Source organism: Homo sapiens, chromosome 18, assembly GCF_000001405.40.
Source record: "Homo sapiens chromosome 18, GRCh38.p14 Primary Assembly".
In the NCBI taxonomy this organism is placed as follows: Eukaryota; Metazoa; Chordata; class Mammalia; order Primates; family Hominidae; genus Homo; species Homo sapiens.
This window is the reverse complement of record NC_000018.10, coordinates 55400284-55428175: the sequence shown is the minus strand read 5'-3', so window position 1 is coordinate 55428175 and position 27892 is coordinate 55400284. Positions and strand designations below refer to the sequence as shown.

Sequence of the window (27892 nt, the reverse complement as noted above, 5' to 3'; positions counted from 1 at the left end):
GAAGATGAGTACTCAACAGTGTCTCTTGGCTTTAACCACTTTAGTGGTCACTGTTGACATTTTCAGAGAGTTTTCTTGGTGGAATCATGGAATAGGAACTGACTTTCCATCCCTCAGAGTTGAGTTGTCTTTCATCTGACTTGGCAAAGTATTTCTTTTATGTACTTCTAATGTGATTTTTCTCTATTGTTTATAGTTGTTTGCACTTTTCATTCACGTAATAAATTATCAGTTTCCTGAAGACAGAGGTCATGCAAAATCCCATGTAAATTACACCTAGTTAAGTATTTAGTCTTAGAATCATTGGTTCTCATGATGAACAAAACACATTTCTTGGTCTGTTCATTTATTCATTCATTCGCTGAACAGTTTTTCATTTACCAATTCCATACAAATAGCAGGTACTATTTTAGGTTATGTGAATATAGTGGTGAACATAAGATACTCCCTTTTCTGTAAACTTTCATTGTAGGTGGAGACAGATGAGAAGGAATGAATACAAATGTTGAGGGCGTTCAGTGTCTTCACTTATTTGTTCCTCACAACAATAGCATGATGTAGATGTTATTCCTAGTCCTATTTCATTGATGAGAAGATGGAGGCATCAAGATATTTAGTAACTTGCCAGGGTTCTCAGTTCATTGGAAACAGGGATGATGTTTGGAGCTAGGATTCAAACCCAGGCGGTTTGACTCTCAGATCCACTTTGCTAATCATCTCACTACACTGCAAAGTGTTTGGCACGGGGAAAATCATTATTCTTATTATTAATGTAGTTAATAGTAACTATTTCTCAAGGGAGCTGAGGAATCATTTACTCTAATTCAGATGAGAAAATGGACACTCATACAGCTAGCTATTGGCAGAACTGAAATTTAGAAGCCATATTTCCAGGCTCCCCTTCCAATGTTTTCCCCTCATCCAGTACCTCTTCTTTAAGGAATGGAGTATGGAAAAGGGAAAAGAAGCTGGAAGAATGAAGGAATGGGCAAGGAGAAGGAAGGGTGTGTAGAAGAGATATAGGAAATAATTAAACCTGTTGGATTTGGGGTTTTTGATGCTATTGAACTGTCTGGTTTTTAAAGTTTTTTTCCCCCTTATATTCTCAAGAGGTAGATATCCTTGAAATGATATCTTCATGCAAAATAGTGTTTTATTTCATCTATGACCAAAAAATAATTCAGGAGCTAGGAAACCTTAGCTCCTTAAAAGTAAAAGACTGTATTTTGGGAAAGAACATTGTTACTGGAATTTATACTGTGATGACACTGGTTGGTAGACACACTAGAAGCTTTGAGGAGTGTGTGTGTGTGTCTTTGTGTGTCTGTGTTTGTGTCTTTGTGTGTCTGTGTTTGTATATGTTTGTATATTAGTATGATATATATAGAAGTACATATTTATTTTATAAAATACTGGTAGTGTTTAATTTGTGCATACTCTTTAGGGGAGAGGGTATTGAAATATTTTTCTGGGTTGGAAAAGTTTTTGTACTTACATGCAAGGCTGCTCTAAAATCAAGCACCATATTGAAACATCACAAATATACACTAAGCAAGGGACAGATGCACAAGGAATTTAAGCAGAGTTTTTCTAAATGGCAAATAATTAGAGGGGAACAGATGCCTATGGGCAGCAAAGGATGAAATGAGGTACCAGGAATTTTAAAAGGGAGATGGAAATACAAATGTAGAATGCAGTTGCTCTCAAGGATGTTTAAGCCTAGAGGGTGTGCTTGCCCAAAGTTCACTCTTTTTGTGGGTATTGACTTAAATTTGGTTCTCTCTTCACCTGTCTTCCCCAAAGAAGTAGATGATGCTAATCATTCTGAAGTGGAACAGATTTTCTGTGGAACCTCAGTTTTGGATGATCTGTGGCTGCATCTCTTTCTTCTGCCTCCCTAGGGTCTTGTCCTTTTATAGGACTGCCAGGATATGACATTTCACAACCATGTCAGTTCTCACTTATTTATTATTTATACCCCATATCCTTCCAAAAGGGTTTTTAGGTAGCCTACCAATAAAAGACACGTATGAAAATATATGTGTGTGTGTGTGTGTATATATATATATATATATAAAATTTTTTGTCTTGGTTTGTGTTTTAGGATGGACATGTCCCTTCTTTAGAAACAAGTCTGCTGTAAAATGGGTTGTATCCATCTCAGAGCTATTCTGCGTAGTCTTGATGTGGAAAAGGAAACAAATCTCCAAGAATAAAGTAGAGCACTAGGCATTTCCCATCTTCCTGTAGAGTGGTAGTTTAAACAGCAGGGGCACTGAGCAGAGCGATTGAGCCACCCAGCAAAGCTGAGCTGTAGCACCTGATCATTATCCCTCAGGTTTAAGATTTACCTGTTGTGCTCATTGTAACAAAAGAAATGAAATCTCTGTAATTATATTGGAAGGGGGAGGAGATCGTGTTTTAGTTCCTTTGATCTTGAGCTAGAATAGGCTCTGCTTTTGGAAATTTAATTTGAAAGAGCCCAACGTACACATCTGCTTTTTGTACTGCAATTTCTATTGAGCTTGAAAATAGAAATTTATTAATGCAAATGTGTAGAGTCTGTTCCTTGAGGAAAAGATATACTCATTCAAAACACAAGGTGATCCCTTCCTACATAGCTATGGAAGATGTTAATATGTTTTCTGTTTTTTTTTTTCCTTGACTTCAGATATGAGGTTCCTTGCTAACAAGGACTAAGCATAAAAATTATAGGATCCATTGGGGAATGGAAAGATTCATTCAATACTTAAAAGTTTCCAAAGGACAAATTCATTGGTGAAGAGCTGGGGGAAGCATACTGAATCCTCAAAAGAAAAAAAAAAAGCCAAAAACAAGTGCATCATCAAACCATTCTGAAAATATGTTTGAATTGATGATAGGGCCCATGCTAAGAGACAAAGCTTTCATTTCAACGAATCCAATCTGCCTAGTGTTGTGTAAAATTGCCTTTGCCTGTAAATGGAATGGCATGCAGATTTTAGGTAGGACACTTTCTCACCCAACTTAGCCTGTACTCTATTTCATTTTTTCCACCATTACATGAAGCTTCACATAAATGACAACTTGACTTAATCCTTAAAGTGGCTGGATTGTGTGGTCTATTTTGATTAAACTTTTTCTTGTTCTTAGTGTAAATTTTCAGTAATGCCTAAAATGTCATGAGCATTTTGGGACATAAATCCTTTAAGCTATTTTGCAGTCATATAGTTGTTCTTTGGAGGGTTTGAGTGCTTTCCTAAACTCCTTCTCATCTCTAAATAGGCAAAATAAATTATAAATTGTCGAGAACATTCAATCACTCTTCGGATGAGCAGGCATCTCCTAAAGCTGGGGAAAGTATCCATTTTCAATATTTTGAGTAAATATAGTTGATTCTTTATAATATTTGTACTGTATCAAAAGATCTCAAAAACTGTTATAAATTACCTAGACTTAAGGAAGAAGACATGATTAAATAATTCATTGGATCAATAAAACCAATCTGCTTTTTTCTGATGTGGTGTGATGAAGTTTTTTTTCAAATGGGGTAGGTGGGCCTCAGTGCTGTGTATTATCCTTTTGATTCTATTGGTTACTGTCTTTCTCTGCTCCCCCCTTAGTTGTTGTTTGATATTTTTGTGCTTTTTGTTTGTTTTGTTTTAAAGAAAGGAAAGCTGCAAGCCATAGAAAGTTAGGCTGTGAGTTAGGAATTCTGAGTTTAAAGCAGGGAGCCTGTCCCTAACTTTGTGTTTAAGTTGGTGTTTCAGTTATGTTGCCAGTGTAAGCTTGTGACCCTTACAAATGTACAATTTCATTTGGGTTCAGTGATTCCTGGATGAGTTTGTGATATAGGATGCCAAAGGCTGTGGAATTTCTTTAAGACACAAAATCTTGAGACAGAGCTGATTCCTTGGAAGCTTGTGGGTAACTAGAGTCTCATGTTAACTAATCTGGAGGGGGCTAAGAAAAGTCTTCCTACCCACTTCCAATTAATTAATTTCTAACATTTCCATCTAATCATGACTTTGTCGAGTGACACACATCTTTTTTCCTCACAGGCAAGAAACTCACACACAAAATTTCTATTTCTAATGGCAGACAGTTGGGGTGCCGCAGCCAAGCAGTCACCCTTAAAAATTAATGAGCGTAATGATGGTTAGAAAAGCGATTCTGATGGTGGTTGGAGAGGGAGGGGCCATGGGGATGGCAGAAGGAGGAAGACCGGACTCCTCATAAGTGACAATGATGTGAGCCCCTGTCCTCATCTCCCCTCCCATCCCCCCTTCCGCCCAGTCACCACCCCTTCCATCCTCCTCTCTTTACAGGAGCCAAAGCAGATAGAAAGACAGGGCGATTATGAAGACGTCAGTTGGAGTGTAGGCAGGCGAGAGGGGCGCAGCGCCCCAGATGAGGTCCGGGGGGAGCTGAGGAGGGTCACTCATGGACGACCGTGTGTGTGTGTCTGACAGACTGTGAAATGGTGCGTTGTTGCACGGCTGCGCTGCACCTGGGCCCTTCATCTGTGATTGATTGGTTTGGTCATGTGTAATGGTCCCATCTGCTCTGTGTTGTTTTTCTTTTTTTACTTATAAACACCGTTCCCAGAGGCTGAGAGAGGATGAGCTATGTTTTGTCATCTTCACTTACACTTTAGCTCAAAAAAGTGGTCAAGTAGGTAAGCTCTAAAGTCTGTCCAAGTAATGTAGTAGGAAAGTACGGTTTTTCCCCTTTGCTTGATTGTGTGTGTGTGTGTGTGTGTGTGTGTGCGCGCGCGCGTGTGCCTCTCCTGCGCACGCGTGTGTGCGTGGAGTTTTAATGCTGCCTGTTAATATCTGAATAGTTCGTGAACCACGGAAGACCAAAATATCGCAGAAATGATTTGCACAACTCTGTGTATTGTGACTCTTACTGCAGTGAGGATTTTTTTTTGTAACGGAGCCAATACTTAATTAAAACCGCTGACATCATGGTGTTATAATTAAGCGTGGCATTAATTAAGCTGGAATAACGATTTTTTTTTATTAAGAACTGCTTCTATTGTATAAGACCATTATCGCCTAAAAACAAAATAATTTTAAGGCAAAAATAAATTTGCTTTAACCTAGCCCTTTTCAACTTCCCCCAAAGTCCGGCCTCAGGACTGTCATCATCAGGGCTCCGAGTCTGTGTGTGCGTGTGTGTGTGAGCATGTGCGTGTGTGTGTGTGTGTTTGGTGGTGTTGGGTTGGGGGAGAGTGGAAGTGAAATTTGTTTTTTTTCACCCAAAAATGCTGATCGGCTCCTGGCATTCTGATGGCTAATTATGCATCGGAGAGCTTCGACAGCTGCATTCATCATCATAAAATGTAATAATTAATGACATTCCAACAAAGAAAAATATGCAAATGAGGACTCATTAGCATTTTCATATTCAGCTTTGATAATGCTTTTGCTGACAAGGTTGTAATTAATGAAAATTCATGTCGCAGTCAGGAGATTGGATCGGTTTCATTCCGCTCACAATTCCCAAATGCTTGCATTATGGAAAATCGGCGGCTCTGCCAACTTTTCAGGGAAGAAAAAAACACACACACACACTAAAAGCACCAGATGCAAATTAATGGTAGGGAGTCTTTAACTCTTTAAACCACCCCCCTAAATTTCCATCATAGGAAACATGTGATGAGTGTTAGCCTAAGAACTAGATTCTCTTTTTTTTAATAATAGGAAAGTACTTTTATTTGTGACCCAAGTATGAGAATTTCTGGCAAACTTTTTTTTTAATATTAAAAAAAACCCCCCAAACCCTCCACCTTTTCCCTTCTTTCCTTTTCCCTTTCAAGACTATTTAAATGTACATAGTAAAACATGTTAGGACAGCCAAGCCCCAGCATGTTGTGTTCTGTCCTCTGGCTGGCAGATTCACGCCACAACAGTTTATTCATCCACATGCTTTTTGGCGACTCTTCATCACGTATTTGGGCTTAGATCTTCTGGTGCCTCCCTCGGCGTGCTACCCATAAGGTCGAAAGAAAAGCAAGTATTCGATTTCTCTATTCAGGGTGGGTTTTTTTTTTTTTTTTTTTTTTTGGATGATAGTGGTTTTTTTTTTTTTGTGCTTTTTCTTTTTAATCTATTCCCTTTGTGGTTTAGTGTAAGAGTTTGAGAATGTGCCCATAATTCTCTCACTCAACACTTCTGGTTTAGTGTTGTTCTTCAAATGTAATTTTAGGAGACACTCTGCAATCAAAATGGAAACCCAGAAACCCCAGAGCAGAGATATCGACAAATATTTAACACAGAGAGCTGTTAATTTATGAAAGCCTCTGTGTGTTGCTTTCAAAATGTGGAACTTTAGGTTGGCAAATGTACACTTGATGCCAACCTGGTACCATGTTTGACAGACAAGCCTGAAGTTAAACTGAAAGTTCTATCTGGCCCTCAAGGTTAGAAAGAAAAACTTAAACAGAGTCTGACTTCATTTTCTATTTGATCTTTAGGTTAAAAAATGATGATTATTAAAACTGGTCTTTTTGCTGAGGCAGATGTTTTAATAAAAGGTTTGTATAATGATTAAGAAAAAGGGAAAATAGAAGTGTACTTCTTTATAAATTATAACGTTTATAAGCATTTTCACTCTCAGATGAATAAAATGACTTCTGGGAGTTCCTAAGATGCAGTTTCCTGTTTATTTAAAGTTAAATTGTAATTCCCAAAGTTGCTAGCCCAGCATAAATAAAGATTATAATACGCCTTGTTAAGGGAAGAGAGAAACTTTGATATGCGGGGCCTTATTTTTTAGAGTATTTCAGTAAAACAGAAAGAATCATCAGTTATTTCACGAAAATTTTAAAATAAATCTTTTTTCCCTTGTATGTGATTAAGAATGACTGGGTTTCATTCCTTGTTAAACTCTTGGGGTTCCAAGAAACAGAATTTTATTTCAATCTCTTGCTTCTTCCAACTTTTATTTTGTCACAGTTTGTACATGAACCTGTGTGTGTGTACACAGGCATGTGTGTAAATGTGTGTGTGTCCATGTCTAAAGATTATGGTGGCTCTGTCCTCTCTCCTGTAAAATCTATTGTGGTAAAATAGCAGGCAAAAGAAGGTTTTACTTTTTTTTTTTCCTTTTAGTTTATTTCTTTTTTTGTGTGGGCAAACTGCCCATCCAGATGGTAGAATTTCACCTGTAAGCAATCTGAAACGATAGGTTAATTCTGACATTTTATAGAGCTTTTTTTATTTTCTTTTCACACAGTACAACTAAGTGCAGAATAACTGCTCAAGATAATGTTTCTTTTTTTTTTTTTTTTCTTTTAAAGCGCTTTCTGCTGTGATTGGTTCTTTTTTCCCCCAAATCTGAATTTGGGGCTCATTTAAAAATCTGTGGCTTTAGGCACTTTGCTGTTATTGTCAAAACCACATCTAATGAAATCTTTGACCAGCTTCTAATATGTGTAAATGAGGAAGTGATGGCAGAAGTGAAAAAGCAGGTTAGTCGCCGAGAAGCAGATCCTTGTAATTTTATAACGCTGAACGTTCCACTGGCTTTGATAAATTTACTGTTAGTTTTCTCCTCCCACCAAATTCACAGATGTATACCAACTCATAACTTCCCAAGTAATGCCTAGCATGGTATTAGCCCCCGGAATCCTGGGACTTGCTTTTGTTGTCAGTGTGGTTAGCCTCTGGTGGCTTATGTGACTGAGTAAACTGGAGAAAAACTTCAGGGTGATTCGTTGTCCCGTGATCAAGGAATCCCATTATTTCCAAAAGCGGGTTAGAAGATGTTTTTGGAGTAGAGTGTGGAAGGGAAAGGGAGTATTGGAGATTGTTTTTACACATAATCATGGTAATCATGCTGTGTTGACAAGTTAGTTTTGAATGTGCCACCTTCTTGTTTTTATTTCTAGAAAACCTTCATTTTCATGAATTATTTCTTGAGCTGATGATAAAGATGACTTTAGAGACATCTTCTCCCCTGGTGTATTCCTTTAGGGAAACGTTTTTGAAAGTGTTTCCCTTTATTATACCTGTAAGGCTTGGGACCTTTGTCATGGCATTGTTTGTTGTTTTTTCCGTTTCCTGTTTTGCACGTGTTAATTCCTGTGGGCATTTTCTTTTTAAAGTGATGGGATTTCCACTGTCCAGCAGCAAGCCACATTTACTGGAGTTATTGAACTCTGTAATAGGAAACCTGTGGGTGATCAGTTTTACCCTCCCTAGAAGATACTGCTTCAGTCAATGAGAATTACAGCCCCATGACTGAGAATTTTAAAGAAGGGGTTCCACTAAGACACCCAGATGTTTTGTTTCAGGTGTTGCAACAAAATCAACATTTGTTTGTGGGCAGCGAAGCCAGTGTTCCTGCCAGTATTCCCGTTCAGTCGCTTCTCATATTTCCCTTGCAAACTTTCCCATTGGTTGGGGTCTGTGGAGAGATTTCAGTGGCTGGCTGGTGGAAATGTTTGGGAGAACATTTGCGTATCAAAGCAACCTAAATATTTGCAAAAATGTTTGCTTGAGAAAAAAGAATCCACTTAGGATTAGGAAGTAACTGCTTAAACATTTTAAAAGCATTTGTGATTTCCCTAAGTATATTACTCATGAGCCACTGCCTAACCTGAATTTCAGGGGTCACTCTGGAATCTGTATATTTAAAAACCCTATAAGATAATAAAGGTTTTGCTTTATGATTAAGATCTGAATCCATACATTAAAATGAAAAAACACTTGACAAGACAAAATATATTTTAAGAATTGTTTATCATTTAGTGAACCTGCAAAACAAAAGGTGTAAAGAAAGGGCCTCATGAAATGGTTGGATGTTGAATACCTCTAACGTCATTCTTTCCCTCTACTGTAGATTTTTTGTTGGTAAAACCCAATTGTATTGCTATGATATGACATTCCTTCTGTTGGAGTCCATAAGCTTTCTTCCAGTGGTAATGATTTGAATGTCAGATCTTTTTCTTGAGTTTAATGTAGGCATTTTCTGTCCACATTATTAAAGTTTCAGCTACATTTTACTGATGGTTTGGAAACAGTATGTGTAAAACTCAGTGTAGGCCAATTTTTCCAATTTGTTAACAAGGTAGGAGTTGAGCATTGACAATTACTGTACTTAAAAGCCCCTCGGATCAGGTGTTATTTTACCATCTGGACATTTTAATTAGTAATAAAAGTGTGGATCTGGATACACAGAAATAGGATCTACAGTACACAATGGCCCAATGCACTCTGTTGGTGCTGAGGTGTATGTGGCTACATTTTATAAATATGTATGTATGTGTGTGTGTGGGCAAGTGTAATTATGTGCCAGGTGTGTCCTTTTTCAAACTGGGCACTAACACAACACCAAAGAATTTGGCTACTTTTCTTAGATAAAAAGTAAAAATGTATAATCTATAAACTTGCACATAAGTAAAACTGTATCTTTTTAATGCTCCTACTTCCTCAAGTATGGCATGACAAAATATAATGCTGACATTTAGGTAGGCCTGGGCAAAAGATGTGACTCTTCTCTTTCATAGCTGTGTGCTCTAAGGCAAATAAATTAACCACCAAGTATCCCTTTTTTCTCATATTCAGAATGAAAGTATAAATGATAATTGTTATGGTATCTACCTAACAGGATTATGAGGAAGCTCATTTGAGCATGTATGTTGAAAAGCACTTAATGAAATATAAGGAGTCATAACAGTTCTTAACAATTGATTGTTAATACAGGATGCAGATGACCAATTCATACCCCACATACCATCTTTTATAATTCAGTAAATCATCTCATATTTAAAAATAAGGGAGATGCAAATATAATGTTACATTAGATTATTAACAAATGATAAGTTTAAGACCACCAGAAAAAAATGTGTTCATAAGTTTCAACATAAAGCAAAATGACTCATTCTTATAAAGTATATACAGGCTCATTGACGCAATGTTATCCTTAATTAAGGCAAAAGCGATGCATTTGAGGGAAATAGTGACCCTCTGGAGAAATAGAGAATGAAAATAGTTTAGGGAAATGAATCTTAACATCTTCTCTTTTGGAAAAATTCATGCATGTTTCTCTTAATCATTATGAATTTCATGTTTGCAAACCAGTGTGAATACTTAAACGATAATCATTATTGTTTAGAATCTACCTATTACTACACACACAGATACACACACACACACACACACACACACACACACACACACACATTTGCTCAAGAAAATCATCCTCAGGAAGTAAAGGAGTTGATAAAATTACCATTGGAGCAGATGAGTTTGGATACTTCTACTGAAAGCTGTTTCAGTTTTTATTATAGGTACAGTTCTCCCCCGAGAATTCTTTGGGAGAAATAAAAACATTTGTTTTTAATTTAAATGAGTGGTAACATGCTGTAGCATAATATTAACTATTTCAGTGATTTTATCAATTTTATCTTCCTCTGCCTTAATGTAATAAATGCATATCTTGATTAAGTACAAATCTTTACATTACGTTGTCCCTAATGACAAATATTATTTTAGGCAACTTAGTTTTAATCATCAGAGTGTCTTAGGGAGCTTATAAAACTTGTCTCTGGGACATGGTATTAGCAGGATGTACAGAGTTCCTTTTTGGTGCCATGCTAGGAGGAGAGACTGACAGAGTCAGTCCAGTCCATTCATTCATTTGATAGATAATAAGTAAACCACAGAAGAAACGAGAATATGTCAGTTCTGACTGTACAGGTTTTAAGATTTTTTAGACTTAATATTGAAAACTAGTTTTACTTAATGTTCTATCAGTTTCATTTAAATGCCCTAATCCAATGATCACTTTCATTTAAATATCCTAATCTAGTGAGCAGATAGGGCTTACATAGCATTTGTCTTGAAGACGTTTTAAAAATGCAGCTGCAGGTCCTCATCTTTGAAACTCCATTTGGTAAAAATGGCCATGTCTACCTTTACCTGTAGATTTAAGTGTCCACAGTCGCGGGATGAGAAAAGAAATTGTGACACTTCTTGAAAAATGGTCTCATCAAAGGGATTCAGTTGAAAATGTGAGGGACTGCATTTAAACTTTGATAAAAAAAATAAGTAATTCTAAGTAAAGTCTGTAGCCAAACTCCTTAATTGTGATGCATTTGCTGAGTTCCCCTCTTCCGTCGTCGGGCCTGCTCTGATGCCATATGGCCTACCATGGAACATTTAACTTGTCAGATATAATGGATTGTCCTGGAAGCAGATTTTTGCTTTGAGCACTCGGCTCCTTTCTTGCATTTCACTCTCAGCTCCAGGCTGCAGGATGAAGGATTGTGGTAGAAGTGCAAAGAAGAGACACACAGTTGATTCCCCTTAAGAGAGTGACCTATATGCCACAAAATTTTACCCACGTAAAGAGGCATTATCCCCGTCACTGGCCTTAGCAGGCTGCATGTCAAAGTCATTTAAATTTCCCTGGACTTAACAGATTGTGTAAACATTTCAGAACTGAGAGCTTAGGAATAATGAAACATCGTCATTTTAACTTAGGCAAAAATGGTGCAGCCATATTGGCCAAAGGAGGCATATTATTTATTGTGACCTACATGTAACGTAGACCACCTGGTTTTTAGATTCTATAAATTAAGTTCTCTCAAGTTTATGAAGGATGCTAAAAAATATATATATTATGATGGAAATGTTACTTGGCTTTATTGTTTTTGTTTCGTGAATAGAGAGGTGAGGTTGAAATGATCATTTAGGAATCGCTTCTTAGCCTTTTGGCTAAGATCAAGTGAAATGATCATTTAGGTGGAGGGACAGTGGCAGCTAATTATCCTACCAGGCTTTCTAGCTTGAAACTTAGGGGCAGACCTTCCATTCATTCTAACCTATTTGAAATTAGAGATTGGATGTGTTATGGACTATTTAATTTTTATCTGTAAAAGTAAATAATGTAGTCTTTGTTCATTTTAATTTGGTGCTTTTATGAGTTAATTTTTTTTTCAATTTGTGCTATTGTTTCAACAAGCTTGGAAAACAGTAGGAACAATTTGTGACTTTTGCATCTGTAGGAAAACTTCTTTAAAAGAATAAACAGTGCCCTACCTATATGTGTGTGTACATACATAGCTGTGAGGTACTCTTCTGGTATAACCTACTGTAAACCCCAAAGCAAATATTGTGATATAGAGACACAGAATAGACAATTTACAAGTAATCAATCAAGCACAAACCAGTGGGAAAATAAGGAACTTATGTATCTCAATTTATTCTTTAAATGCTACATATTTGATTGCTTTAGGGTTGCAAAAGTTAATTAATAGATTTGTATAAGACACACAGAAATATACATACACTAAAAGAGACTTTGCTAAGTGTAATTCAATATACTCACAAAAATATGTGTTAATTATGTTAGAAATTTAATATTTAATTTAATTCCATAAATCCTTGCATTACAAATAAGTCCTCATACAGGTCAGATAGGGCAATAAAAACTACTGTGGCCTTGAAAACTGACAGAAGCTCACTTCTGTACAAATCTTTTTAATGAACAACTTTCCATCGAGCAGCTAAGAAATATCTGTTAAAGTCAGTATTTAATACTAAAGTGTACTTATGTATGTTTCTTACTGATCCTAAATTGAGCACGTTAGTTTTATCAATGCCACTCATCGGCTGACTGTACCCCTCCTCCCCCATACAGATTTGGTGAGACTTAGTACTAAATAAGTTTGGGGAGTGCCTGGCCATAGCCGGCTCTTGTTGGGGCATGTGCGCCCTCTGCTGGCTGCTCACATAGGAACTGACTGGTGTGTGAGGTTCTTTCTTTCTTTTACTTTTCAAGGTTGGGTTTTTTTTGTTTTTTGTTTTGTTTCAATTTATTTTTATACAACTGATCAGATATTTACCATGATTATAAAGTTGTAGCTTAATACTGAGTATGGCCGTTAATTTGTTTTTATTTGGAAATAAAGGTGAGGTTTTGTTTTGGGTGTGTTTTTGGTAAATAGATAGTCCTGATAGTTCAAATAACATGCAATGTGTGTAATACTCTTGAGTTTTTTAAGTGGTTGATTGTATATCACGATTAACCATATTTTCATTGCTTTCATATTCCCCTTGCCTTGATTGTATTTGAGAAGTATTCTTGTTGGACTAAGTTGGGAATAGAACTTAAAAGGGGATAGATAAGTCATTGAAATTTTGAAATATGATTATTTGTCTGTAATGGATGTGGTAGGTAATCCCTAGTAGAAAAATTCCTGTTATGGTTGGTTGATAGTTTTCACTTGCTTTGCCAAGGAAAATGAGTATATTTACATCATAATACTTTATAAAAGCATTTTTGGTTTCCTTGCAAACCAAATTAAGCTGTGCTCACTGGCAGACATTGAGAATGGTAGTTTGAGTAAAATATTTTTTGTTTTGTTTTGCTTTTGCAGTTGCTGTTTATAGAGTATGAGATGTTAAAGGAACAAATCACTGATGGTCTCTTTACTCCCAGGACACAGGACTAAACTATACAAGGGCAGTTACAGAGGAAGAGTGTCAGCCTCTCTACCATTGCCTGGGTGGAGAGCATCCTTGGGTCCTGGTAGTGAAGGCCAGGGCTCTGTGTAATGAGTGTGTCTTTTAAAAATAGCAACAATTTTTGTTGACAAGGCTCCATCAAAGTCTTTATAATAATTTAGTTTGTATAAGTGATTTCTGTGTATCTCTGAAATTAAATGACTTGATGGAGTCAGTTTGGTATTTGTTGTACAGAGAAGGCAGTTTAGATTTTTATAGTTCTTTTGTCTTACATTGCAAATTTTTCTAATTTGTAAGCAAAAGCCATAAAAACTTCCAAACCAACCGTGGAGTGATCAAAGAACTTAGAGCTGTGGAAGGGCAGAAATGTCATCTACGTTTTTTTTTTCTTTTCTTTTCTTTCAGTTTTTCCCCTTTGCAATTTTAGGTTCCAGTTACCTTAAAATTTGTTTTGGATAAATGATATAAATTTTTACTTAATAGTCTTTACTTACTTTGATTTAACATTGTCAAATAACTAAGAATTGCATTCTAACAAATATTAAGTCCTTATTACCTCTGTTAGAATGTCATCTTGCATGAAATCTCACATACATGTCTCTCCTGTTACCACCTTGTCTTCAATGAGGTTGTATTGGGTGCTCTTTCTTGGTGCTTCTCTGGGTTCCCATTATATCCCTTACTGGTGGATAGCATTGTGTTACTCCTGGTATTTAGTCATCTAAACTCTTACCTCCTTGAGAATAATGTGCATTGTTGACTCTCTTGCATCCAGCACATGTTACACAGAAAGCACCCAACAAATATTAAATTCCCTATATTGTGTTTTTTAGGCCTCATTCACCACTATTCAGATGATAATTTTTGCAAGTTTCAGGATTAAAAATTGTGGTCTGTAAACATAGTATATGTAATGCATTTTATTTTCTTGCATACTTTTTATAGGATGAGGTCATTCTTCTGGCTACTCCTTGTCTGCTTTCTTTTTTCTCTTTTTCCTCCCTCTCATCCTTCCCTCTGCCTCTCCTCTTCCTTCCTGTGCTCCCCACCTTCCTCTCTTGATTGAGTCATGCTCCTAGATTCAGTCATTGAGAGGCTTCTCTTAAACACTGCAGCATGGGACCATTCATCTACCAACCTTCCCCTTCCTTGAACAATAACTAGTGCTGCAGGCTGGTTGGACTCTGGGGAGTGTGGCCCTGCGTATCTGGCAGTTTGGTTATTATTATGGGCCCATTCTCTTGAAGTTGATCTTGAAGAGCAGGCTTGGCTGGAAAACATCATTCTTCTATAAATATAATGGTTAGCAATCTTCCTACTCTTTGTCTTCCTTGGAATGTGTTTTCAATTCTGGGCTGTTCCTCCCACTCCCCTCCAGTTTCTCTCAGTAGTGCATGTTTAGGGGATATAGGTCAATTGTATTCAGTGCTAAGGCTAGAGAAATGATCATTTAATATATTACAGATACGTATACAAATGGCAGTTGGATTATCTTCTGTCTGGGGTTAAAAATGTCACTTATATATGTGTGTTTATGTATGTATTATACATATCTATATACCGTATATAACATTGTCATGTCCCCCCCCATTCTTTTGATGTAGTTTTGAGTATCATATCCAATGTGTATAGTTTAAGAGATGAACATTGTTATATTCTTGTTCACTGTAAACTTAGCTTGAAAGTTAAGGCCATCACCTGTGTACCATGGTGCTAAAATACATAATTTTTCTATATAGACAACTAAGTGCCTATGTAGACTACTCTATAACAAACAAACCTTTTCCTCTCTTTTCCATCTCACTGTGGCTTATTTAGAGTTGTATCATTTTTATCTTTTACATTGACTGTTGCTAAGACTCTGGTGGAACATTCAGTTAAGTGAGCAGCATATAATTTATGATTAAAAGTGATTTGTGTGGTGAAATGCGGCTGCTGATTTCCTTCATATTTTCCAATAAATTCCAAAATATTTAGCCAGGCACCAAAGTCTTGCCCAGATGATGTTGTCTCTATTACATTCAGCCAGAAATGTCACCCATCTCCTCCAATGAAAGGGAAAGGACCGGATTTTCTCCCTCACTGTGGACTTGTCATGCCTCCACAGAACGTGGACAGAGAAGGGGTAGAAGGACCCTTTTAAATGAACGAACCAGGTCAGGTTCACTAGAGTTGGATCCTGGATTCTAAAGGTGACATCCACTCTTGAGATAGAAGAGAGATGCTTTCAGAGCAGCGGGCCAGTGGGTCTGATCAATGAGGAGCAACCTTAACAAAACTCCGGGATTCTCATATTTTGGGATACTGTTGTTTATTAGGGGAATCGATTTGGCAATGTAAAATCGATTTCTTAAAAAAAAAAAAAACAGCCTTCATTATTGGAGATGAGCACATTTAAAGGCCTAGCACGCTGCCAGAGAAAGGTTTCTCTAACCCATGAAATGTAACTGTCTGAAATGACCTTGGGGATCAACAAGTCCTTGTCTTTTAAAAAACTCTGCGTAAATAGGTGAGTGCTAGTAGTAATCTACTTTTTGTTATCTACCATGTTACCAGGTCTATTGGAGTTTTAGCTAATGTAACCTATAGAGCTGTGCCTATCACTTAAATTGGTTGCTTGTCTCCCTAGCTGGTCAGAATAACCAGTGGAATTTTATTTGCAAGAAAAAAAAATCTGTTGGGCATGGTGGCTCATGCCTGTAATCCTAGCACTTTGGGAGGCTGAGGCAGGTAGATCACTTGAGGTCGGGAGTTCAAGACCAGCCTGACCAACATGGTGAAACCCCATCTCTACTAAAAATACAAAAATTAGTCGGATGTGGTGGCACATGCGTGTAATCCCAGCTACTCGGGAGGCTGAGGCAGGAGAATTGCTTGAATCCAAGAGATGGAGGTTGCAGTGAGCTGAGACTGCATGCCACTGTACTCCAGCCTGGGCAACAGAGTGAGACTCTGTCTTAAAAAGAAAAAAATAAAAATAAAAAGAGAGAATGCCAGACTCTACCGAATTCACGTACCATGGAGAAGAGAACCCAGGAATCTGTTTTTAGGAAAAGTCTTGCTGATAATTCTCCTGATCAGCAAGGTTTCTTAGCCATGAATTGAATTTGAGGAAATTGCTTTTCTCCACACTCACCATCTCATCACAAGTCTTCCTTCTGCCTAAGAACATAGTGAAAATATTTTATTTCTGCGTGCTTTTGACACCTTTAGCATGTATTGCAAGATGAGCTTTTTTTCATTTTTATATGAAAAACTATTATGTTCTTTTGAATAAAAAATAAGCTTTCAAATGCATATGCTGTTTTTTCTAAGACCACACAAGTCCTTAATTGCCTTGGTTATATCCAATTATCATAGACTCAAACTGCAGTAAAAATATAAGATAGGGTAGGCATCACTGTGAAGATGTTATTCACATAAAGCCAATGGTAAGTTACTCATTAGAAGTAAGTTGAGTGATTTCAGGGTTGCCCTTAGTCCTTCAGGTCTCTAGGGGACCCTTGTACAAATTGCTGATTCAGAAAATCATTACTTTGGTGGTTCAAGTGGTACTTTAGTGGCCTTAAAGAGTTATTTGACACACCTCCCCAAACAGCTAAGTTATCCCCATGATTATGTTGATTAATTGCACACTCTGTGGAATTAGTGTTATTTTCAATGAAAGATTTTCCTGCGTTCGGAAAATCAAGCATAAAACTCATGTGCTTTAATTTGATAATGTGTGTACTTCTCCTAAGCAGGATGCCAAGTGAGGGGCTGATTTTGGTTGTTGTTGTCTGGGCCATGTGAAATCATCTAGGACAATATTTTTATTCTGCACTGAAAAGGTAGTTTTTGATGGACTGTAGGATGTTCACTCAAAATGCTTATCGATTCGGACATTTTCATCCATCATGGAACTTGAGAACTCTTTGACTTTATGAATTGAGTTTAAATTATTTGGGGAGAGGATTACGGTAGTGAGAAGGCAATGGTTGTTGCTACAGTAGGCACTAATAATGATACATCTAGAAAACTCCAAACGGAGGTGGCATATTGTGGGAAAGCCTTGGTACTGGAACTGGAGGTCTGTGTGCTAACTTCACCACTTCATATCTGTGCAGCCTTTTTAACTATATGAGCTGGTTACCCTTAATTTTAGTGACTTCGTCTATAAAAACATGGACTAAAATGCCCATTTAATGAGCTTTTAGGGTGTGTTGCCTTAAATAATGTAAGTTAAATTTGCATGCGAGATAGTGCATTACAAATATAAGTGCTCTATGGAGAATTGAATATAGAATCTGAAATTCTTCACTTAGGCAGAGCCCTGAAGTGAAGACTTTTGGTGGCACCTTAAGATACTATCTGGGGTTTCAGTACCCACACTGTGTTAAAGGCAGCACAATGCCTAGATGAGATGAGGGGAATCAGTGATGAAATGCAGCCAAAACTCCCCAATTTCCAGTGGGATCAGAGCTATAGGCCATTACTGAGTATTCTATTTTTAGGACTAAAAGAACATCAGCGGAAGAGAGAGTTAATGCCAGTCTTTTCCAGAAAAAAATGGTTTACTGCCCATTTTTCATTATCCCTTGATACATACAAGCTATGTGCCTAGTTAGTTACCTTTTCCCCCATTTGTCTTTATAGGATTTCCTAGGTTGTTGGATGACTAGTTTATTTGCTGGAATGGAGTTGTAATTCTTTTAGCACAAATTTATTTTACATTTAGATTTTTAAATGACTGTGGATGAAGGCAGAGTTGTCCCTGTATCGTAAGATTCTGTAGGAGAGAACCAGTACTCTTCTCTGAAATGTTGGAAATTGAAAGAATAATGTCAGCTTCTGCTTTTTTGTAAACCCAGAGTCTCACCTCCAAACTGGGATCAGGAGTAAAGTTGACTAGCTAGTCAGAACAATGAAGCTATACCTGCATGGCCACAGATTACCGTAAGACATATAAGCCAATAGAAACCAGCAAATTAAATAGTCAAAATGTTTTCATATCAATTTAAATAAAATAAAAATTTAATTTTTGAACCTACATCATTTATCTGATAGAAAACTACAAATATATAGTAACCTGATATATTCTTAGTGTTAAGTTGTAAATAATAGTAGTTCTGAAAGGTCATCAGCTCTTGTATTAATAGACACAAAAAAGATGGGGACGGGCATGTATGCTCAAGTCAGTTTAGGAAACATTGTATAAAACTAAATTGAAAGCCAAGTACAGTGTCTCATGTCTGTGATCCCAGCTCCTCTGGAGAGCAGTGCAGAAGAATCCTTGAGCATAGGAGTTAGAGAGCACCTTGGGTAACATAGTGAGACCCCATCTCATTAAAAAAAAAGAAAACCCTGAATTAAATGTCTTAACTGCAGTACTTCTCAAGAGTCTTTAACATGCTAGATACAATGTAAATCTGTTGGGGGGCAGGGCAATAGCTTGTAACAGTTCGTAGATTCTTTTAATTAGTCTCCCTTTTGGTTTTTGGAGCCCGTTGTGGGATCACTATTCTATAGATGACACTGAGTGATGCTGGGTTGTCCTGTATTATAATTATATTTTTACTTTTACTCTTCTGTACATCTTAATACAAAGACATAGTCTTCACATAGAGGTGTAGAAATGCAGTTTTCTGCCATGTTTTTGTTAATTAGTTGCTTTGTGTTAATGTGCGGAGATGGTGGCAGTTTATTGTAAGATGTCACAGAATCCATGTGTATCATTTGTGCAGCTATAAAGTACCTAGAGACCTTTTAGGAATAAAACACCATGTAAATGTAAATTATCATTGCCTATAAGACACTTTCATTAATTTCATATCAAATTCATGAGTGTTTTGAGCTCTGGGATTTGAGAGTCTTCAGTGTCGGGCCTCTAGTTTATTTATACTTTTTTTTTTTTCCCCCAGAGTTTAAACACCAGCAGCATAGCATAGTGCTAAGAGCACAGTCTGGGCAAACAAACTGCCAGGGTTTGAATCCTGGCTCTGTCACTTGTACCTGTGTGGCTGTGGGCAATTTTCTAGATCTCAGTTTCCTCATCTGCAAAATGGTGTTTCTATTACCTGCCTTATGGGGTTGTGCAGATTGAATGAATCATTTTATGTAGAGCTTTGAGCAGTGGTTAATACATGATAAGGACACAGCTATTCTTATTTGGACAGGGAAGGAAAAGGCAGGCATGGAAACGATGAAGGACTGTAAATAATAACCTCATGTATGTGTTCAGAACTACTAAAAAGTTCAGTTGTTGTTTAATGAACTAGTCCTTTCTACATATATATAGATTCACAGGGTAATCAGAGATGGATGGGACTGGGGATGGGGACAGAAATTTATTCTGAGTCAAACATGTTTATGATGAGTTCCCTAGTCTGATGCCAGGGAACAAAAGGCTCATTCTTCAGTTCCCAGAATGAGGATTAACAGTGAAACAGCCTTGCTTGGTGTTGTCCTGCAGCATCAGATAATTTTTCATCAAGGCGTTTCACGGGATGATATATTCTCCCATATAGATGAATCTATTTCAGCGGTGGGTGAAACACCTACCATTTATATATAATTTTTAAAGTGGCATTTTACAAATGAAAGGCTACACAACCAAACATGACCCTGTTATTATCCTACTGGTCAACCACAAGAGGGATCATCTCTGTTAGAGCTTATCTCTAGAAATCATTTTATTGATAAGTTGCTCGTCTGTCTCTAGCTCTTTCTAGGTGGTTTAGAACTGTCATGTGTATCCAGGGGCAGTAATCTACCAAAGGTGATCCTTCTTAGAAGTATCCCTATGAGTGGAATGGATTTATGAGATCATTTTTTTCCCTTCATGTAATATTTTCATTGTCACCCAGTTCCCTTACAATAGGATACCATGGATGTATCGGAAGAAAAATTGGAAGTCAAATGGCTGATAATACAAGAATATAAAAATATTCAATTTGAAATTCTATAGACATTTGTTAACCATATCACCCTCAAATAAAAAGCAAATTTTCCTGCTCCTTCTTGGGACAGCAAGATAAAAGATTGTTGAATAGATCAGCAAAACATTGACTTTTTTTTTTTTTTTTTTATATGGAAGTTGCTTGCCTTTCCTGCTCATATTAGTTTTTCTGGGCCAGGGGAAGCAAGTGAATCCTTTATTGATTGCCATTTGGTGCCATTTTTAATAATCAAATTTAAATATAGGCTTTAGCAGCGGACGGGTTCGATTTGGACAGAACACATGTTGACTTCCTGGACTGTTTGCTCACTGGAGATGCCGACTTGTTCTGTAGACGGGGCTGCATGTTGATCTCCTTTGTCTCCAGAAGGATTGATTGACGGATGTTGTGTCTGCTCATTTACAGCGTTTTCCTTGTTTAATTTAAAAAATTGTGACATAGTATTACATGTTCCCTTGTATACATCATTTTTGCAGAAGAAAGTTGTTTAGCCAATATGTCGACTTAGTTTATGAAATCCTCTCTATAGCTTTCATTCAGCCCTTCGTGTACTCCATTAGGTCATATTCATTTCATGCACGGCAAATCGTCACCAGCAGCAAAATTTAACATTTGGTCCTTTTAGGTATAAAAATGAATCAAATGCCTGACAAGATTTGTTTCTGGTATATATTTCAGAATCTCCCCCCGCCCCCCGCACCAACCCCATCTTTATGGGCATACAACAAATGTTACTAACGGGTACTTTTAGTTTTAAAAATATGGACAACAGTACTCCATGCAGTAAAAGACTTGAGCGATTAATGCTACCCTTATGCCTCTTTTGAGTAGTTTTAGCCATGGGGCTTGGCACTGCCACCATTGTCTTTGTGCCAAAAAATATCCGCAGCGGCTGTCGCATTCTAGTACCGGAGGGTTGTCTCGAAAATTCCGCAGTGAACGCGCCGGGTTTGTTCATCACTGCTATCTCTTTTAAATATTGGAAAAATAGAATCTTTAGCTCTTTCAAAGCCCCGTTGTGGTTGTGGGGATGGGGGGAGGCGGGTGGTGAAGAATGGAGAAAGGAGGAAAGAGGCTGTCCGCGCCAGCCAGTTGGTATAAGTGACAAAAATCCATGCCTGACATAGAGTAAACACAGATATTTAAGAGCTTTTGTGTTCATGAGCACAGATAGTTACTTAAGGATCCTACTCAAACATGTTATCAGCGCTCTTGAAAATTTTATTATCTGAAACAAATGTTCCAAGTGAATTTTAAGCAGAAAATCAACATCAAGACCATAGCTAATTTTTAATGGATAATTTACACAAAAGATAGTTTCTTTTCTAGAAACTGAGGTGTCCTTTTAAAATGGCTGCTTTTAGTCTTTAAAAAAAATGATAGGAATCGCGATTTTATGTTTGAGAAGGTGCGTGGGCTTTATCCACAGTGCCTGATTATTTTGCTCCCAAACAGGGGTTCTGGCTCTGAGGGCAGATTTATAGTTGAATTGGGGAACAAAAAGATGTAATAAAGTTAAAAGCTTACACTATCAGAATGAAATGTGTTTGTTCATGATCTCTGGACCGATCTATTTGATGGTAAAAGTGGATGCTACAGATGAAATCTTTACAAGGAGCATAATCCTTAAAAAAAAAAAAAAAAAAAAAAAGTCCACCTCCCAGCCTCCTGCTGGCTGTGCTGCCTCTTTGGTACCTCGCAGACTTCGACAGAGCCCTGGACGGGTGCCCATTGATGTCATGGAAACACTCAAATTACTGAGAATGATTCATGTCTATGCTGGTCTCTTATCCTCCCCCACACAAACAGGAGTAGATTTTTAACCCTGACAACTTGTAATTTGCAGTGGGTTTATTTTTGTATCTGGATAAATATTTTTTAACAAGCAAAATTAAGATTAAGCAGTCTGTATCTGATATGATAGTAAAGAATGCTGGGTTCCATGTAGCCAAGAGTACTTTGGGGACTCTGCAGCGTGAATTCATATTCTTCTCCTCCTCCTCTCCCTCCTGCCTCTTTCTTTTCCTACCTCTTGCTCTTTGCATTCCACTCTTCCTCTCTTTGTTTTTCTCCTACTTATTCTCTCTCTCCTTTTAAAATCCTGCCCTTTTATCTTTAAAATAATGGAAGGAGTAGCCCAACTTATATCTATAAGTGAGGCAAATCCTGGCAGAAAGATTCCTCCCTCCTGTTCTGTGTGTTGGAGTCAAGTTGGGAAATAATGCTGAGTGGTGAAATTCTACAGGGGATAGCTTCAGGAATTCCTTCTAGAGAAAAAAATAGATGCTTTTTCTTCCTTAAACTGTATTTTACAATTTGGATTTTTAGAAATTACCAAAACAGGACACTAGATGTTCAGTTTCTTAGGAAGTCAGAGCAGATTCTACTTTATCCATCTTTCTGTCTTTCTGCCTGCCTCCTTACCTGCCCAGCTTCCTGCCTGCCTATCTACCTGTTAAACAAGTGAATATTACATCAAAGTAAGTGATGTAATGGTGATATTGAAGCATTCTTAGATGCAAGAGCTTAAGGAAGGACACGCGTCCTTTGATAGCTCATGAAGGTCGAGCCTTTTCTGTTAGTAATATTTATAGAGAGAAGTTAAAGGGTATAAGTAGCTTAAATTTGATGTACACAGATGAGTAAATATGTCTTTGTGACCATTCACACTGCTGATACAAGTATAAATTTATCTTTTCTTCAGTGCAAAATCCTCATACAATGGAAGTTATTCTGTTAGATCTTCTAAGACTGACAGTCTGTGCGATGGTGTCTTGTTTCACTGAAATTGAAACTGATATGGGGCATTGATTTTATACTTTGCGCTGAGCGCTAGACCAGAAATGGGGCGGAGGTGTTTTCCCAACTTTAAGATTCATTAAAATCAGTAGAAAAGTTAATACTGGGAAACGGGGTTAATTTTAAGACTTAGGTTTGGCTTTCTTTGAAAACCACCATCCATTTTATATATGTAATGACTTGGATACAGGATACCCTTTTGACCACATAGAAAAATTTATGGATATAAATGTATCAAAGATACATTCTTTGTGTGGGGTCAGGAAGGCATACTCTAATAACATTGCCATTGCCATTGACCTAAAAGATAAAAAGACTACTGTTACTTTTAGCATTCGTGTTGAGTTGAGAGGGGAAAACTTGGGGGTTGTAAACTTCAGAAGGAAATCTATTCAGCCTCTCAAAATACAAGTTTAGAGTTTTCCTGTTGGAAAAAGGAATACTGTAGTCCTATGTATCAAGTACAATTACTGTAAAGCTCCAGTCTTGACGAAAGAAGTATCCTTTAGACTTGCGTGGGGTGGGGTCTTAGGCACCTGCCTGCCTCTTTTAGCCCCTTTTAATGTTCTGGTATGGACAGATTTCTACAATGATTCTCCACATGTCACTATCTGGACTCTACTGCTTAGATCTCTTGTAATGTGATTTCATTATCCTCCCTAATGATTATTGGGGTTAAACTTTAAAAAGAAACAAATGAACACCCTTGATTTTATTCTTAGATGTGGCCGAATAGCATCGAAGGGTCTATAGATCTCTGTAGAGCAGTCTACAGATAAAAATTGGGTTGTTAGAATTGGAACAAGACATTCACATTCCATGATCCCTTGTCCTGCTGGGTCTATTGGTGGAATCTGAACTTGGGTTCAGAGTAGGCAATTTTTCAAAAGCCCTGTTTCCCAAATGTAAATTCCATCATCATCTTGATCATGATGGGGTTCACTCCTGGGAAAGGGAGTTTTTAAAAAAGAGAGAGAGAGAGAGACTCAGAATTTTGAATAGTTTCTTTGCTAAATTCACCATCTGGAGAGCCTGTGATTGATTAGTTTTGGCCTCACTATTAAGTGTCAATATAATCAATGGGAATTACTAGGCTAGGGTCATTACATAGATAATTTGCCTGCTGTGTAAATAAAAATGAAATTGTTTAAATTTTGTGCAAGAGAAAGTGAAAATAAGGAGTTACGATTTGTTTGTTAGAGAAAGTGGAGGCCATTGGAATGACAGTTTTTGGAAGTGTGGAGCAGTTTGGCTAAGAATAGGAATGAAGGATATTTTTTTCCAGTTTATCATAGCCAGAGTGAGGAAGTGTTATTCCCTCTCTTGCTTGCATACATTGCCAGTAGTGCCTACTTTACGTATGTAAACATCGGGGAAGAGCAGTAGATGTCTGTTACCTGGAGGAGATTTTTTTTTAAGGAAAAACACAATTTACACTTTTTTGTCGTTTCTCTTGGCAGGTAAAACAGAAAGGGGCTCATACTCATCTTATGGGAGAGAATCAAACTTACAGGGTTGCCACCAGGTAAGTGAGAATCTCTGTTGCGGAAGGGTTGAGAGGATTAACCTGGTAAATCAGTTTGTTTTCTAAATTAGATGATGCATTTTAAACTGTGACACCAAAGATGCACCGGCAAGTCAGATGATGGCTCTCTCTTTAAGTAATGAAATAACACAGAGCTTAGAACTAATAAACACCTCATCTTTAGATCGCTGCTGTATCAGAACTACATTCATGGGCTTGTTTTTATTTTTTAATCCATCAGCCGGTACCAGTGGCACTGTTTGCAAACCAGCAATGTCGGTGAAAGTGGTTCTATTAAAAGAGTTTATTTGCAATTAAGAACTTAAGAATTTCTTACGCAGGAAATACTTCGCGGAGTCATGTGTCAGACCCTGGGTTTCGGGTGGCTATTGCCCTAAATTATAGTTTTCATAGGGGCTGTATGATGTTGTGTGAAAACAGGGTTGTATTGAGGGATAAAAATGTCTGTGAAAATATGATTTGTTGTCCCTTTTTGTTTCTGAATTGTTTTTGGCTGGAAGTCAAGGCCAGCAGGCTAACAGCAAAGCCGTCTCAAGGGAAGCATGCGTGAGCTAGAAAAATAAGAGTACTTTAATTAAATAATAAAATGCCAGTGTAATACAAAGGTATAGCATGTGTGTGTTTGTGTCTCTGGGCACTTTGCATTTGTATACTTTAAACTCTCCAGAGAGAGCCTATTTCTAAAAATACTGTCAATAGCTAAAAGTATAAGCTTTGTTTCAAGACAACTGAGTTTTTATAGATGCTTTCTTTTTCAGTTCAGTATCAGTATTAATCATGTATTTAAAATCTTTTTTAAAAATTTATACTTCCTTTTTATAAGTGCATTGGTTTCTTACTTTGGAAAACTCTTGATGGAATTTAATAATCCTCTTTAATATTCAGAGCTCTCTACTGTTTTTATTATTCACGCAAACAAAATGTACTTTTTTTTTTTCAAATGCTGGAAAGGGGATGCTTACTCTCTTGAACTCTCTCACCCTCTGATGTTCTTGATGGGGGAAAAAAATCTATTTTAATTTTATTTTAAACAGCCCATTTAATATACCCCTGAAAAATGTAAGCAAAGTTTTGTTTTTGTAATTAAATCGAGCCTATGAGGAAAGTTTCCTTTACGTACCAGACATAGGAAGGTACGACTTCTGGTGGGTTGGTGTGTTTGTTTTTTCCCTGTATATATTTGCATTTTTAAAGTTTACTCCCTTGGCCCAGCCACCAATTCAGTCATATTCGGCATCTGAAAGATTTGTTGCATTGAGGTGAACAGTGCTTGGTTAAGAGCTCCTGCCGGAGTGCAGTTCATGGCAGTTTGTTTGGAAAGAATTCTGCAGGAAAGAAATTTACAGCCATTCCAGCGCAACGGAAACATCTTTGGAATGTGAGTGCAAATGTTCGGGCTAGATAGCCTGGGCGACAAGCCTCTGAGTGCTGTGTCTCTGGTGTAAAGCTCTCAGTTCCTGCAGAAGACCGTGTTCCTGTGGGTCTGGTTTCTGAGGGTCAAGGCGGAGGTCATTAGAGTTTTGGGGAGAAGAAAGTTGACAACATCCTTCCTTTCTGCAGATGGTCATGGCAGAGGTCTCTGTTTTCGCTGGGCCCCTTTTTCTGGTCATTGAGAGAATAGGCTTCCTCACCCCTGTATCCTTTCTTACTAATAGGAATTGGCGTGATTCCTCACAGACACAAAGATTTCCTCTGCTGAGTAAGCGTGAGGCCCCTTAACTTGTGAAAGCATCATCCAGACCGTGTGAGTCTGTCTGTGTATGTGCAGAACACAGACCCTCCTTTCTCCGTTTGTGGGGAATACTTCCCTCGGGTGAAACTGAAGTTAATTTTTTTTTTTTTCCAAACACAAGGTGAGAAGTGGAAAGGGGCAGAGGGTGGAAGAGAGGTGGATGGATTGGCATGTGATGGCTGAATTTCTGGGCCTTGGGAGGTTCGTTTTGAGGCATTAATGTCCAGGAAAATTCTTTTGTATATAGCACTATGACTGCATATGCTTTTCTTAAAAAGCCTTCGTAATGTAGCCGTGGAGTGTGGAGATTCCTTCATTCTTAATTTGTGCTTCATGGTTGTGAGTCTTGCAAGAGTCTACTATCTCTGTGCTTAGCGTGGTCGCAGCAATCTCCATAAACAGTGTGATTACTTAGGGATAAATAAAAGTGAAATTTTGGAAATTTGCTGACAGAGGGAAAATAGGGACTGAAGATGAAAAATGTACAGAGTATGAATTTCTGCTTTCTGTGAAATTTGAGAATAGAACAGACCATAGTGTGTCTTCCAGTGAATCAGTTTCTCTTGTGCCGTATTGTTATTTGAATCCCTGTCTACAACATCAGCTATGCAAACCAAAGAGAAAGGCAAAATCTCAGTATCTTGGGCTTCAAGTCTAAATAGCAGATCACAGCTGAAATGATTCCCCACTGTGTGACAAGGTGAGTGACTCGTGGAGGGGAGGCTTTTGTTTTCTTCTGTTTACTACATGATTGAGATACGGAATAGGAAACCTTCAGATGGTGTGCCCTAAGGAGCTCCAAAAGCTGCTTTATCGTATTATAACAGTGTATCCTATGGACTTAAAGGGGTGAGCAGTGCTATATGGAAACATGCTTCTTCCAGTCTCAATAGCCTTTTGTTTGGTGTAGAGACAGAGTGGTGGTAAGCAACAGGTAGCAAAGCGCTGTCCTGGAGGAATACATTATTATTGTGAGACGTGTGTTGTTTCAGAAATATATCAAGTTAAAAATAGATATATATTTTAGATTTCTCCTAAGGATTTAACACTAATACTGATGGACATATGACGCTTTTTTAAATGGATATATTTTAGCAGAAGAATGAAAGCCGGCAGGTTCTTTATTAGCAATTAAGTTGTTTTCATTAAAAATAGTAATGAGATATTATTTCATTAATGCATTTCCACCTGAAGTTATCAGAAATAAACATGGTGACTTTTTGAGACTTTTAAAATTGTGTTGAAAATGAATCAATAGATAAGCAAAAGTAGCCAAACGAACTTTTTTGAGTTCTTACTAAATATGACAAAACTAATTTAAATCAAATTGGGGTACAGAAATCACACCCAGCTTAACATGTTCTTGCCAAATGGTAACCTCATACTCCTTTTAACTGGCAGAGAAAATGAAATTTAT

The 27892-nt window shown here is 37.5% G+C and overlaps 1 protein-coding gene across 40 annotated transcripts in view, besides 1 other annotated feature; it reads left to right on the top strand.

Annotated features, from left to right (window-relative positions):
- The window catches only part of TCF4 (transcription factor 4), a 413773-nt gene that overhangs the window by 207782 nt on the left and 178099 nt on the right, over positions 1 to 27892 (top strand). For 34 of the 40 annotated variants that reach the window (NM_001243226.3, NM_001369584.1, NM_001369576.1 and 31 more), the window contains one exon: positions 24658 to 24722. In NM_001243226.3, the coding sequence (NP_001230155.2) occupies positions 24658 to 24722 (65 nt within the window). Of the gene's footprint in view, positions 1 to 5878; positions 5997 to 24180; positions 24556 to 24657; positions 24723 to 26487; positions 26597 to 27892 lie in introns of those variants that run through there. The other 6 variants (NM_001348212.2, NM_001348213.2, NM_001306208.1 and 3 more) reach the window with 4 other exon arrangements.
- Positions 4328 to 5782: an enhancer, noted in NCBI's record as "VISTA enhancer hs376". NCBI's record gives its function as "enhancer in: neural tube[8/12] | hindbrain (rhombencephalon)[8/12] | midbrain (mesencephalon)[6/12]" and the evidence as "EXISTENCE:transgenic organism evidence [ECO:0001131][PMID:17130149]".